We start from the raw sequence: 14,019 nt of genomic DNA on the forward strand, positions 1-14,019 counted from the left end.
TAGCTGGGACTACAGGCGTGCACCACCACACTCGGCTAATTTTTGTATTTTTAGTAGAGACAGGGTTTCACCATGTTGGTCAGGCTGGTCTTGAACTCCTGACCTCAAGTGATCCGCCCACCTCAGCCTGCAAAAGTACTGGGATTACAGGTGAGCCACTGCGCCCGGCTGAACTACACTTTGAAACAGGGTGTAACCCACTTGGCTCTCAAGCAGAGCCAAGTGTAGAGAAAAAGGCAATATAATAATTATCTGCTTTCTAGTCCTTCCTTTTAGCCACTGGAGAAAATAGTAACCACTTTCTGTGTTAAACAAACAAAAAGAAGAAAAACAGCAAAACTGAAACAAACTAACAAATCCCCTCAATATTTGATTTCCAATTTGTGAACCACTCCAATACAGATAATTCTGAGAAGCATGTAACAACCAGTAAGAAAACCTAGTATGTTTGCTTTAAAGTCATAGACTAGTTTTCAATGGATAGTCAACTAGCATTGGAAATAAAAGAGTAAGATCAATGTTGTAGGTTCATTTGGTCTATAGTATAGTTTACCTGTGATGTTTCTTTGTTGATTTTCTGTCTAAATAATCTGTCCAATGCTGAGAAAGGGGTTCTCAACTATGATTGTACTGGGGCCTATAGTTGGATTTTTTTCCTTTAGCTCTAATAATATTTGCTTTATATATCTGAGTTCTTCAGGGTTGGGTGAATACATATTTACAATTGTCATAGCCTTTTGCTGACTTGATCCTTTTTATCATTATGTAATGAACTTTTTTGTCGCTTTAAACATTTTTTGTTTTAAAGTCTATGCTGTGTGATGCAAGCAATAGCTACTCCTGCTCACTTTTGGTTTCCATTTCTGTGGAATATCTTTTTTCATCCCTTCACTTTCAGTCTATGTGTCTTTATAGGTGAAGTGAGTTTTTGAAGGCAGCATATACTTGGGTCTTGCTTTTAAAATTCTTTAAGCAAGTCTGTATATTTCAGTGCTTCAGTTGAGGAAGCTAAAAATGGGAGAGTTCAGTAACCTGCACAAAGTTAAACTGGTAAGTAATTGGTGAAGTCAAAATCTAGAATCAAGGCGTTTTTGTTGTTTATTTTTTGTTTTGGAGACAGGGCCTTGCTGTGTTGCCCAGGCTGAAGTGCAGTGGTGCAATCACAGCTCACTTTAGCTTCATCCTCCTGGGCTCAAGTGATCCTCCCACCTCAACCTCCTGAGTAGCTGGGACCACAGGTATGCACCACCACACCTGGCTAATTTTTGTATTTTTTGTAGAGACAGGGTTTTGTTGTCCTGGCTGGTCTTGAACTCCTGGGTTCAAGTGATCTGCCCACCTTGGCCTCCCAAAGTGCTGGGATTATAGGCGTGAGCCACCGTGTCCGGCCTGCAATCGAGTTTTCCTAACTCCAGAGTTACGCTGTTATTTCCCTCTGCTACTGTCCATAGTAACAGCCATATTACTGAGTACTTACCACTTGCTGAGTAGGGTGCTGGGCACTTTACATGCCTTATTTCATTTAGTGTTCGCAATAATGCTATGAGGTAGAGTCTCGTTATCCCCATTTTACAGATGAGGTAACCAAGCTTCAGAGAAGCTAAGCAGCCTCCACAAATTTATACAGCAAAGAAAGCCAGCCTTTAAATCCAGGCCTGCCTGACTCTAAAATCTGTTCTATTGAGTTTAACTGCCAAACAGGTGAGCAGGATGCTCCTAGGAGGGTGGTAACAGTGATTGGTAATCCATGACTTCTGGGATCCACTGAAACCCAGGGATATGCAGTTTGCCTAATCAGCCCTATTTTCTGAGCTATCATTAGGGACAATTTTCACTTTCTCTGATGCTTCATTTCCCTGCAGCTTCTGAAAGCTGTTGATTTGCTCAGATTAAGACCAGCTTCTGCGCCTTTCGCGTGTCAGATTGTTGTGTACGTGTTCAAGAGTATGGAGGAATCATAAACAGTCCAGAAGGAGGCCCTGGTGTACTACACAAAGTTTTTGCCACATTGCTATGGGAGGAATCTGTGTTGCTTGAGCAAACACTTGAGGTTATGTGACTGTGAGATTCCAAATGTGCATTTCAACATCAGGTCATGACGGTGCAACTTGTTTTGTGATGAATGGCACTATAAGTAGAACATATTCTATAGACCAAGGATTCTTAGCCAGGGATGCATGGCGGGGCTTCAGAGGCTCTGGGAACATTCTGTATGTGTGTGTGCATTTTACTGGAGAGAGATCTCATAACTTTTATAATATTCTCAAAGGAGTTCATGACTCAAAAAAATCATTTAAAAACCATTGTTCTCAATTTAAAAATCACTAGAAGAGGAAGCTTCAGAAAACAGAATAAGCCAGGCACAGTGGTGTGTGCTTGTAGTCCCAGCTACTCAAGAGGCTGAGGTGGGAGGATGGCTTGAGCCCAGGAGTTTGAGGCTGCAGTGAGCTGTGATTGCACCTGTGAATAGCCACTGCACTGCAGCCTAGGCAACATAAGAGACCCTGACTCTAAAAAACAAACAAACAAACAAAAAACAGAAACCTTAAGTACTCTAATGAAAATGACAGTGTGCTCTGGAGGCAGAAATGCACCTTCCTTTTTGCATGAAAGATTTACGCTATGGGGCCGGGCACAGTGGCTCATGCCTGTAATCCCAGCACTTTGGGAGGCCGAGGCAGGCGGATCACCTGAGGTCAGGAGTTCAAGACCAGCCTGACCAACATGGCAAAACCTCGTCTCTACTAAAAATACAAAATTAGCTAGGCGTGGGAGCACATGCCTGTAGTCCCAGCTACTCGGTAGGCCGAGGCAGGAGAATCGTTTGAACCTGGGAGGCCGAGGTTGCAGTGAGCCAAGATCACGCCATTGCACCCCAGCCTGGGCAACAAGAGCGAAACTCCATCTCAAGAAAAAAAAAAAAAGTTTATGCTGTGATTAATACCTGGTCTCTGTATTAAGGGAGTGTGTGTGTGTGTGTGTGTGTGTGTGTGTGTGTGTGTGTATAAAAGAGAGTGAGAGAGTACACACACTATGTGCCAGGTAAGTGCTAATATTAGTTCCATTTTTCTTTTTGAGACAGAGTCTCACTCTATCGCCCAGGCTGGAGTGCAGTGGCACCATCTCGGCTCACTGCAACCTCCGCCTCCTGGATTCAAGCAATTCTCTTGCTTGAGCCTCCCAAGTAGCTGGGTTACAGGTGCACACCACCATGCCTGGCTAATTTTTTGTATTTTTAGCAGAAACAGGGTTTTGCCGTGTTGGCCAGGCTGGTCTCGAACTCCCGGCCTCAAGTGATCCCCGCTGCCTCAGCCTCCCAAAGTGCTGGAATTATAGGTGGAAGCCACCATCCCTGGCCTTAGCTCCATTTTATAAATGGGGAAATTGAATCTTACAGAGGCATAGAAATACCCAAGATCAGTGAGTAAGTCCATGTGAGCCCTAAGACAGCTTGCATAGATTTGTAAAGCAAAATACGGAACAAATTATATAAAACCATTTTCTTTTTTTTTGAGACAGTCTCGCTCAGTAGCCCAGGCTGGAGTGCAGTGGCACAATCACAGCTCACTGCAGCCTTAACCTCCTGGGCTTAAACGATCTTCCCACCTCAGCCTCCCAAGTAGTTAGGACTACAGGCACGCACCACCATGCTTGGCTAATATTTTCTGTTTTTTGCAGAGACGGGGATCCTGCTATGTTGCCCAGGCTGGTCTCGAACTCCTGGGCTCAAGAGATCCTCCCATCTCGGCCTCCCAGAGTGCTGAGATTACAGGTGTGAGCCACTGCCCCCAGCCAGAAGACAGTTTCCAAATAACATGCTTAATATTTGTACAAGTATTTCTTTTTTTCTTTTCTTTTTTTTTTTTTTTCTTTTTGAGATGGAATCTCCCTCTCTCGCCCAGGCTGGAGGGCAGTGGCGCAATCTCGGCCCACTGCAACCTCTGCTTCCCAGGTTCAAGTGATTCTCCTGCCTCAGCCTCCCAAGTAGCTGGGATTACAAGTGCCACCACCTCGCCCAGCTAATTTTTGTATTTTCAGTAGAGACGGGGTTTCGCTATGTTAGCCAGCCTGGTCTCGAACTCCTGACCTCAGGTGATCTGCCCACTTCAGCCTCCCAAAGTGCTGGAATTACAAGCGTGAGCCACTGCTCCCGGCCCAAGTATTTCTTTTTTAGGGGAGAAAAAATTATTGGAGAAAATTTCTTTCCTACTCATTTCCCAAATTTTTCTAGGAAGTCTATGTCAGATTTCCTTTCTTTTTTCTTTTCTCCCTTAAAATAATTTTTAATTGTTATTATAAACAGGATGGACCTGTGCTGAGGAGTGTAGCAGGACTGTGGTTTTATTCCTGCACTGTCTACTGGGTTGTGTGAAGATGGGCTAGAAAGAGGATCTGTTGGGAAGGAAGAGTCTAAAAATGAATGAACGTCAAGAGTCAACGACTCTTACAGCATCATTACCGTCTGTTCCTCTTCTCAGAGAGTCAGGCATGAGGGCCACCAGGCAGGGGAAAAAATGACTTCAGATCATGAGAAATTAAAAGCTTTTAATTAAAATTCATCCGGGTGAGAGAGTGTTCATGGCCAAATATTACAAAAAAAGCTATTTTCCTGTAATCAGTGCTTGGTCAGAAGTTCATAGACCCAGTTCACTTTCTACCCCATTTCTTCAGTCTTCCCCCTCAAAATTAAGTTAGCGCTAGGAGCCTGTAGAATGTGTGTGGCATAAATGTGTCTTGCCTGTGCTACAGCTGCACTTTCACTGGTGGCTGGAGCCAGTCCTGTGCATGTTCTCTCCTGCACCTCGTCAGTTAGCCAATCCCAATTTACCCTCCAAGATTAGGATCCTGGCTGGGCGCGGTGGCTCATGCCTGTAATCTCAACACTTTGGGAACCCGAGGTGGGTGGATCACGAGGTCAGGAGTTCAAGACCAGCTTGGCCAAGATGGTGAAACCCTGTCTCTACTAAAAATACAAAAATTAGCCAGGCGTGGTGGCAGGTGCCTGTAATCCCAGCTACTCGGGAGGCTGAGGCAAATAATTGCTTGAACCTGGGAGGTGGAGGTTGCAGTGGGCCGAGATCACGCCACTGCACTGCAGCCTAGGCAACAAAATGAGACTTTGTCTCAAAAAAAAAAAAAATTAGGATCCTGGCTGGGTGCAGTGACTCACACCTATAATCCCAGCACTTTGGGAGGCTGAAGTGGGCGGATCACTTGAGGTCAGGAGTTTAAGACCAACCTGGCCAACATGGTGAAATCCTGTCTCTACTGAAAATACAAAAATTAGCCAGGTGTGGTGGCGGGCACCTATAATCTCAGCTACTTGGGAGCTGAGGCAGGAGAATCGCTTCAACCCCGAAGGTGGAGGTTGCCGTGAGCCGAGATCACGCCATTGCACTCCAGCCTGGTCGACAAGAACGAAATTCTGTCTCAAAAAAAAAAAAAAAAAGATTAGGATCTGTCACACCTCAGAGAACCTTTAGTGACCCCCGAGGCTGAGTTTGATGCTGCTCCCTGCTCCCCTAGAGCCTTAGGAATTTCACTTTCCTTGCATGTCTCACACTCTCCTGTAAATGTTTATTGTTTTGGCCAGGCGCGTTGGCTCACACCAACACTTTGGGAGGCTGACCGGGTGGATTGCTTGAGCCTAGGAGTTTGAGACCAGCCTGGGCAAGATGGTGAAACCCCGTCTCTACTAAAAAAAATAATAATAATAATAATTAGCCAGGCGCAATGGCACACACTTGTAGTCCTAGCTACTCGGGAGGCTGTAGTGGGAGGATCACCTGAGCCCAGGGAGGTCAAGCCTTCATTGAGCTGTGATCATGCCACCGCACTCCGCCTAGGTGACAGAGTGAGACCTTGTCTCTAAATAAATAAACAAATTTTTATTGTTTTAATCTGTCTCTTCCACCAGATTCTAGGCTTTCTGAGGTCAGTTTAATGCCTGGCACATAGAAAATGCTCAAAAATTGGTAAACTAACAAATTTGTGTTTGTTTTTTCCCCATCCAAAAGTAATTGCAAGGATTAATGTTCTTAAGGTATAATCACGTGAAGGCACTTCTATGTTAAAAAAAAAAAAAAAAAAAAAAAAAGGCTGTGGGTGGGGGCAAGGAGGAGCCAGGGAGGAAAATTAGTCTCCTGTCAGAATTTGTGAAGTCAGTGCTAGGAGGTGAAAACATCACCTCTTAGATGCTAGCAGTATACTAGCAATCTATTGCTATACAACAAATTACTCCAGCACTTCGTTTATTATCTCTAATTGTTTCTATTGGCGGGGAATTTAGACAGGGCACATCTTGTCTCTGCACATGATGTCTAGGGCCTCAGCTTAAAAGATTAGAACAGGGCTGGAATCATCAGAAGGCTTGTTCACTCACATGTCTGGCAGTTGATGTTGGCTGTTGGCTGGAGGCCTTGCTGGGGCTGTCAGCCAGAACAGCCCACACACAGCCTCTCCACGTGACTTGAGCTTCCTTACAGTATGGTGGCAGGGCTCCAAGGGCAAATGTCTTGAGAGAGAGAGAGAGGGCGAGGCTGGAGCCTTTTACATAACCTGGCTGCAGAAATCACACAGCATTACTTGGCCACATTCTTTTGGTTAAGGTGGTTAAAAAGGTCCATCCAAGTTCAAAAGAGGAAACACAGACTCCACGGCTCAGTGAAGAAGTATCAACATCACATTGTAAGGAGAGCATGTGGATGGGATCTAGACTACTGTGGCCATCTTTGAAGAATGCAATCTGCCACAAGCAGTCATGGGGAAAAGGCCAAATTCCTCATAATAGAATGTGGGTGTGAATCTCTTATGTAAGACAAGAGATATGAATCAAGGCAGATGGATTTTGTGAAGGCAGTGAGTTTTTCCTTCACTTTCAGAGTGCAGGTAATTATAACTCTGTCAAGAATGCAAATAGAAAGAGGAAGGTTTAATATTTTGTGACAGAGATCTGGAATGTTATAAAGTCCTATTTCCAGTGATCAGATCTACTTCATCTTCTTGCAAAAATGAGGCAGTTGTAGTGGCTAGAGTAACACCCTCATGAACTCTCTTTGTTAAGTCATCCCCCGTCCCAGTCACTTCCACCTCTTCCTGGCTTACTGTCACTCTAACATCACTCTTGTCATAATCCTTGATTATTTTCTTATCCATGTTGGTGATACCCTGACCACTCTGCTTCTTTTTTGAGACGAGCTCTCACTCTGTCACCCAGGCTGGAGTGCAGTGGCATGATCATGGCTCCCTGCAGCCTTGACCTCCCAGGCTCAAGTGATCTTCCCACCTCAGCCTCCCTAGTAGCTGGGATCACAGGTGTGCACCATACCACACCTGGCTAATTTTTTAATTTTTTGTAGAGACGGGATCTCACCAGGTTGCCCAGGTTGGTCTTGAACTCCTGGGCTCAAGGGATCTGCCCTCCTTGGCCTCCCAAAGTGCTGGGATTACAGGCGTGAGCCACCGCGCCTGGTCCACTCAGCTTGAGATCCACTCATCCAATGATCTTGTCCTTCACCCTTCTCAGCTGCTCACTTCTTTGACTTTGTCATGACCTGTCTTTGCAACCTTCCATGATCGCTATTCTAGATGTCTTTCAGCTCCAATAATTCTTCAGCACCACAAGAACATACAGTTCTTTGGTATAACTACTACCTTTTCACTGTCCCTCCCCAACTATGCCTTCCCTTCCCCCCCCCACCCCCCCCCCCCACCTAGAACAGAAGCGCATCATGCGGGCCGGGTGAGGCGGCTCATGCCTGTAATCCCAGCACTTTGGGAGGCGGAGGCAGCTGGATCACTTGAGGTCAGGAGTTCGAGACCAGCCTGGCCAACATGGTGAAACCCTGTCTCTACTAAGAAGTCCGTCATGAGAATCACCCCTTTGCACACACTCAACTCTCTTGCCCCCTCCCTCCTTCTTGTGTGCTCCTAATAAACCCAACCCTGATTAACCCCACCCCCTACACCCTCCACAGCTGTCATCATGCAGTTTCTGGTCTCTGTATTTATGAAAACAACCTCTAGTGGGCCCTTGATGCTGTCTGCAGTCAGACATTCTCTGAAATAGGGCATGGGCTGCTCCTCTGGCCCAGAGCTGTAACCCTAGATTGTTGGGTCAGAGCCCCTCATCTGCCAGGCACTGCTGCCCAGACCTTAATACACACCCATCTGGCCTCCAGGAGAATAAGAAATCCTCTTCAGAAACTGCTTCTCCCTGCCGACACCCCTGGCTTTCTGGTGGCTTCAGAACTAAAGTTGGAGGATGTGACATTCTGTCTGAGGGTACCCCTTCCATTTCCGCTTCTTTTTCCTGAACACTCAGCATTGCTGAGAGCTATTTTGACAGCTCCTTCTATTCTTAGCACCAAAGCACAAAGTCATATATGCAGATAAACCAAGGCTAGAAAAACTGCATGTTCATTTTCTAAATTCTTAGTGAGAAAAATCAAGAGCAACTGTCGGGGTTGGGGGCGTAAGGGGCTGTGACCAAGTCGGACACTCCAGAGGGAGGTGGAAAGTGCCTGAGTGGAGATTCTGACACTATGCAGATGTGTCACCTCGGGCAAGTCCCTTCAGTTGCCGGGGGCTCAAACTCACCATCTGCAAAGTAAGGGGACGGGATGAGGGAATTCCTAAGCCCCTTTCTAGATCTTTCATTCTTCGTCACCAGATGCTACAATATACACAGTTGCCTCTGGGTTTTTTTCTGCCTCTCCTGCCTTCATTCATCAGTTTTTCAATCAACGAAAGGCTCTGCTTCATGCCCAGAGGGTACAGAGATAAATAGGGCACAATTCTTGCCCTTTAGGACCTCACTTTCCTTATAGACACATCACTTGATATATGTGAAAGTTGGTTATACAAACTGGGTCATTGTCATACCCAACTAACTCAGAGTTGAGAGGCCGGGGGAAAAGAGCAGTTAGGGTACATAGCACCTGCTCCAAGAATTGATTTTTCTGCAAAGCTGAAACAGCCTGCTATAACCCTGAGACCAGTTTCACCCTAGTAATCGCTAAAATGACCTGCTGTGACTCTAACACTAGTTTCACCTGCTGCTGTCACTCACGAGTCAGAGCCTGCCAGCTCCCAGAAGTTTCTTTAGTGCCAATGAGCGTTCTTTCAGAACAGTATGTAACATTTCTCTTTCTAATAAAACTCCCGGCCAGGTGCAGCAACTCACGCCTGTAATCGTAGCACTTTGGGAAGCTGAGGCAGGAGGATCACTTGAAGCCAGGAGTTCAAGACCACCCTGGGCAACATAGTGAGACCTCATCTCTACAAAAAAATTTAAAAATTATAGCTGGTGTGGTGATGTACTGCAGTAGTCACAGCTACTCGGGAGGCTGAGGCAGGAGAATCCCTTGAGCCCAGGAGTTTGAGGCTGCAGTAAGCTATGATCAAACCACTGCACTCCAGCCTGGGTGAGAGAGCAAGACACTGACTCAAAAAAACAAACAAAAAAAAAAGCAAAAACAAAAAATATGTATATCTAATAAAACTCCCAACCTTCTCTTTGTTTTCCAGACATGCTGAGGACCACCTAGGCTGTGTGTGCACTCTGAATTGCAATTCTGTGATTCTCTCTTTTTTTGAGACTCAGTCTCACTATGTTGCCCAGGCTGGAGTGCAGTGGCACAATCTCAGCTCACTGCAAGCTCCACCTCCTGGTTCAAGCAATTCTTCTGCCTCAGCCTCCAGAGTAGCTGGGACTACAGGCACACACCACCATGCCCAGCTAATTTTTGTATTTTTAGTAAAGACAGGGTTTCACCATGTTGGCCAGACTGGTCTTGAACTCCTGGCCTCAAGTGATCTGTCCATCTCGGCCTCCCAAAGTGCTGGGATTACAGACATGAGCCACCATGCCTGGCCAATTCTGTGATTCTCAAATAAAACATTGAGAGATTCATCTCTATATTTTATTTGACTTTGACAAATCCTGTAATTATGTCATAATATGATGAACGTTTTGAGAAAAGTCTATTCTAAGTATAATGAGAACAAAGAAAAAAAAGATTGGTCCTGGCTATAGAGGTTAGAATATTTCACAAGAAGAAATTATGTTAGAGAATATTCTTGAACGATCAATTGGACTTTGCCAGACTGTGGTGGGCATAGGGGACCCAGAAGGAACATTCATTCTAGTTATGAGAAAGGGCCCAGAGACATGGCGAATCTGGGGGACAAATTCCACATTTTCCATATACTTGATCATTAAGCACATGACCAAGTGTGTCAGTGCATGAGGATGGACAAGATAGATTGGAGCCTTCACTGTTTTTTTCTTCTCATTTACCAAAAATTTCATCATTTTAGAATTGTCCCAGTTTTCTAATTTTAAGTCAGGGCTTCTTTGTCATGCTTAAAGTCTTACCCTCTGTGCCCTCTGCTCTGTGTTCTATATGGTAGCCTGAAATTTGGCCCTGTTATATATATTTATTTATGCCAGACTCCTGAAGGTGTTCAAGCATACCATTTATCAAATATTTCCATGTAATGTGGCAGCTAATAACAGCTTCGTTTTACAGAGGGAAGAGCTGAAGCAAACACTGATTTGTAGATTGCTTGGTAACAGGAAAGAGACCTGATGTATGCCCTCTGTCTTTCCTTCACAAAAATTTTGTAGCTTTCTTTGTTTCTTCAAGCCTTCTACCTGTAGTTATACTTTAAGGGAGATAATTATAAGCAATTTTGATTGACCTGAGTCGATCACACTAGGACTGTCATAAGGGTTAGATTTTGAGTTGACTGTGGCTTTAAGGAAGAATTAAATATTGTAACACCATTTAAAGTTATAGAAGAAAGCATAAGTTACCACTCAGAATATAGGTTGGTAAGACTAAAATCTTCCTGAGCCCATGAGAATACCTGCTTTTTTTTCCAAGTCTAATTGTTTCATGAAGAATTGCTGAGCATGGTGGCTCATGCTTGTAAACCCAGTACTTTGGGAGGCTGAGGCAGGAGGATTGCTTGAGCCCAGGAGTTTGAAACCAGCCTGCGCAACAAAGTGAGACCCCCATCTCTTCAAATAATTTAAAAATTAGCCAGGGGTGCTGGTACATGCCTGGGGTCCCAGCTACTCAGGAAGCTGAGACAGGAGGATTACCTGAGCCTGGCAGGTCGAGGCTGCATTGAGCTGTGATCATGCCACTGCACTACAGCCTGGGTAACAGAACGAGACCCTCGCTCTTAAACACACACATACACACACACACACACGTATATATATAATTGGGCATACACCTGTAGTCCTAGCTACTCAGGAGGCTGAGGCAGGAGGATCACTTGAGCATAGCAGGACCCTGTCTTTAAAAAAGAAAAAGAAGAATTATTGTTGCCTTTTTCTTTTCATTTCTTTTCTTTTTTTTGTTTTGTTTTGTTTTGTTTTTTTGAGACAGAGTCTCACTCTGTCTGGAGTGCAGTGGTGAAATCTTGGCTCACCACAACCTCCATCTCCCGGGTTCAAGCGATTCTTGTGCCTCAGTCTACTGAGTAGCTGATATTACAGGTATGCGCCACCACGCCTGGCTAATTTTTGTATTTTTAGTAGAGACGGGGTTTCGCCATGTTGCCCAGGCTGGTCTCAAACTCCTGACCTCAAGTGATCCGCCCACCTCAGCCTCCCAAACCTCTGGGATTACAGGCATGAGCCACCATGCAAGTCTGGGAGGTAGTATATCATGTAAACATTGCAGGACAAAAGCATACCCAAGTGGGTCACACTGCTATCTAGGATTTGGCCTTTGGCTTTCAAGATCCAAAAAGTTCAACTATGAATTCTGCCAGAACTGATCAGGGTTTAGAGGATGTAAAGCAACCTCTTTCTATTGTGTCTCTAGCACCATCTACTGGGAAACAAAAGTGCCTTTATTTTTTTTTTTTTATTTTTTTTTTTTTTGAGACGGAGTCTCGCTCTGTCGCCCAGGCTGGAGTGCAGTGGCGGGATCTCGGCTCACTGCAAGCTCCGCCTCCCGGGTTCACGCCATTCTCCTGCCTCAGCCTCCCAAGTAGCTGGGACTACAGGCGCCCGCCACTACGCCCGGCTAATTTTTTGTATTTTTAGTAGAGACGGGTTTTCACCGTTTTAGCCGGGATGGTCTCGATCTCCTGACCTCGTGATCCGCCCGCCTCGGCCTGCCAACGTGCTGGGATTACAGGCATGAGCCACCCCGCCTGGCCAAGTCTCTCACATTTAATCCCAACACAATGCTGTATACAAACCAAGTGACTCAGAATAAGAATGCAAAAGTAAACCAGACAAATGCAAGCCGAAGTAGTCTCGGCCGGGCTCAGTGGCTCCTGCCTATAATCCCAGCACTTTGGGAGGCCGAGATGGGCAGATCACCTGAGACCAGCTTGGCCAAAACGGTGAAAGCCCATCTCTACTAAAAATACAACAATTAGCTGGGTGTGGTGGCAGGCACCTGTAATCCCAGCTACTTGGGAGGCTGAGGCAGAAGAATCGCTTGAACCTGGGAGGCCAAGGTTGTGGTGAGCCGAGATCACGCCACTGCACTCCAGCCTGGGCAACAAGAGCAAAACTCTGTCTTAAAAAAAAATTGGTTGCATGTGCAAATATTCCCTATTTAAAAATTTGGCCAGATCACACCTGTAATCCCAGCACTTTGGGAGGCCAAGGTGGGTGGGTCACTTGAGGTCAGAAGTTTGAGACCAGCCTGGCCAACATGTTGAAACCCCGTCTCTACAAAAAATACAAAAATTGGCTGGGCATGGTGGTGTGCCCCTGTAATCCCATCTGTTTGGGAGGCTGAGGCGGGAGAATCACTTGAACCCAGGAGGCAGAGATTGCAGTGAGCCAAGGTTGAGCCACTGCACTCCAGCTTGGGCGACAGAGTGAGACTCCGTCTCAAGAAAAAAAAAAAAAAAAAGAGCAAGGAATCCTTTGTGCACTTCCCAGATTCTCTCGGTTAAACAGTGGACACCCACACACCAGGATGGTATCGCCTGGACCTCAGTGTCTCACTTGAGTGCTTCGTACCTAGGCATCCTGAGGCTGTATGTGAACTCAGAACTCCAGTCTTCAGGCACTAGGAAGACTACATTTCTGAACAGCAGTTCTGAGTTTAAGAAAAGAAATGGGGCCGGGTGCAGTGGTTCACGCCTGTAATCCCAGCCCTTTGGGAGGCCAAGGCAGGTGGTTCACGAGGTCAGGAGTTCGAGACCACTCTGGCCAATATGGTGAAACCCCGTCTCTACTAAAAATACAAAAATTAGCTGGGCATGATGGTGCGTGCCTGTAGTCCCAGCTCCTCGGGAGGCTGAGGCAGGAGAATCACTTGAACCAGGAGGCAGAGGTTGCAGTGAGCCTAGACTGGCCATTGCACTCCAGCCCAGGCAACAGAGGGAGACTACGTCTCAAAAAAAAAAAAAAAAGAAAAAGGAAAAATAAATGAAATGTCCTCTTTTACTCAGATAGATTTGTGTGTTCTCTCAGCATTTAGGAACCCACAAAAGCAGAACCAAATGTTTTAAATGACTGGCAATTGGTTCTTCTTTTACTTTTTAAATTATTTTAATGGTAAGGTACAAGTTCCTGCTTTTTCTTAGCCTCCTAAGATTTCAGCCCTACTTTGCATGCTACTTCTCTCCCCTGATTACAGTGGAAGCCAAGTTCCTAAAATTGCCATTTGACCACATGAAAGGGAAAAATAATTATCACCCTAAAAGAGTATGTTAACCTCCTAACATTTGCATTTACCTTTAAAATATATGAGACAGCTCTGGGACTATAAGAAAACTTTTTAGGCCAGGAGTGGTGGCTCACACCTGTAATCCCAGCACTTTGGGAGGCCAAGGCAGGTGGACCACCTGAGGTCAGGAGTTGGAGACTAGCCTGGCCAACATGGTGAAACCCCATCTCTACTAAAAATACAAAAATTAGCTGGGCGTGGTGGTGTGTGCCTGTAATCCCAGCTACTTGGGAGGCTGAGGTGGGAGAATCACTTGAACCTGGGAGGCAGAGGTGGCAGTGAGCTGAGATTGTGCCATTGCACT

General features: G+C 45.6%; 1 protein-coding gene and 1 long non-coding RNA gene across 4 annotated transcripts in view, besides 2 other annotated features; one reads left to right on the forward strand and one right to left on the reverse strand.

The window, feature by feature from the left end:
• Positions 1-14,019, forward strand: part of GALM (galactose mutarotase) — a 68,652-nt gene that overhangs the window by 48,229 nt on the left and 6,404 nt on the right. The gene's annotated exons all lie outside the window — the stretch shown is intronic.
• Positions 1-14,019, reverse strand: part of LOC124905993 (uncharacterized) — a 49,668-nt gene that overhangs the window by 30,460 nt on the left and 5,189 nt on the right. The gene's annotated exons all lie outside the window — the stretch shown is intronic.
• Positions 7,882-7,941: a silencer, noted in NCBI's record as "silent region_11379". NCBI's record gives its function as "represses an Ori minimal core promoter by ATAC-STARR-seq in GM12878 lymphoblastoid cells {active_cell/tissue: GM12878}" and the evidence as "EXISTENCE:reporter gene assay evidence [ECO:0000049][PMID:35858748]".
• Positions 8,732-8,781: an enhancer, noted in NCBI's record as "active region_15609". NCBI's record gives its function as "activates an Ori minimal core promoter by ATAC-STARR-seq in GM12878 lymphoblastoid cells {active_cell/tissue: GM12878}" and the evidence as "EXISTENCE:reporter gene assay evidence [ECO:0000049][PMID:35858748]".

Source organism: Homo sapiens, chromosome 2 (genome assembly GCF_000001405.40).
Source record: "Homo sapiens chromosome 2, GRCh38.p14 Primary Assembly".
Lineage (NCBI taxonomy): Eukaryota > Metazoa > Chordata > Mammalia > Primates > Hominidae > Homo > Homo sapiens.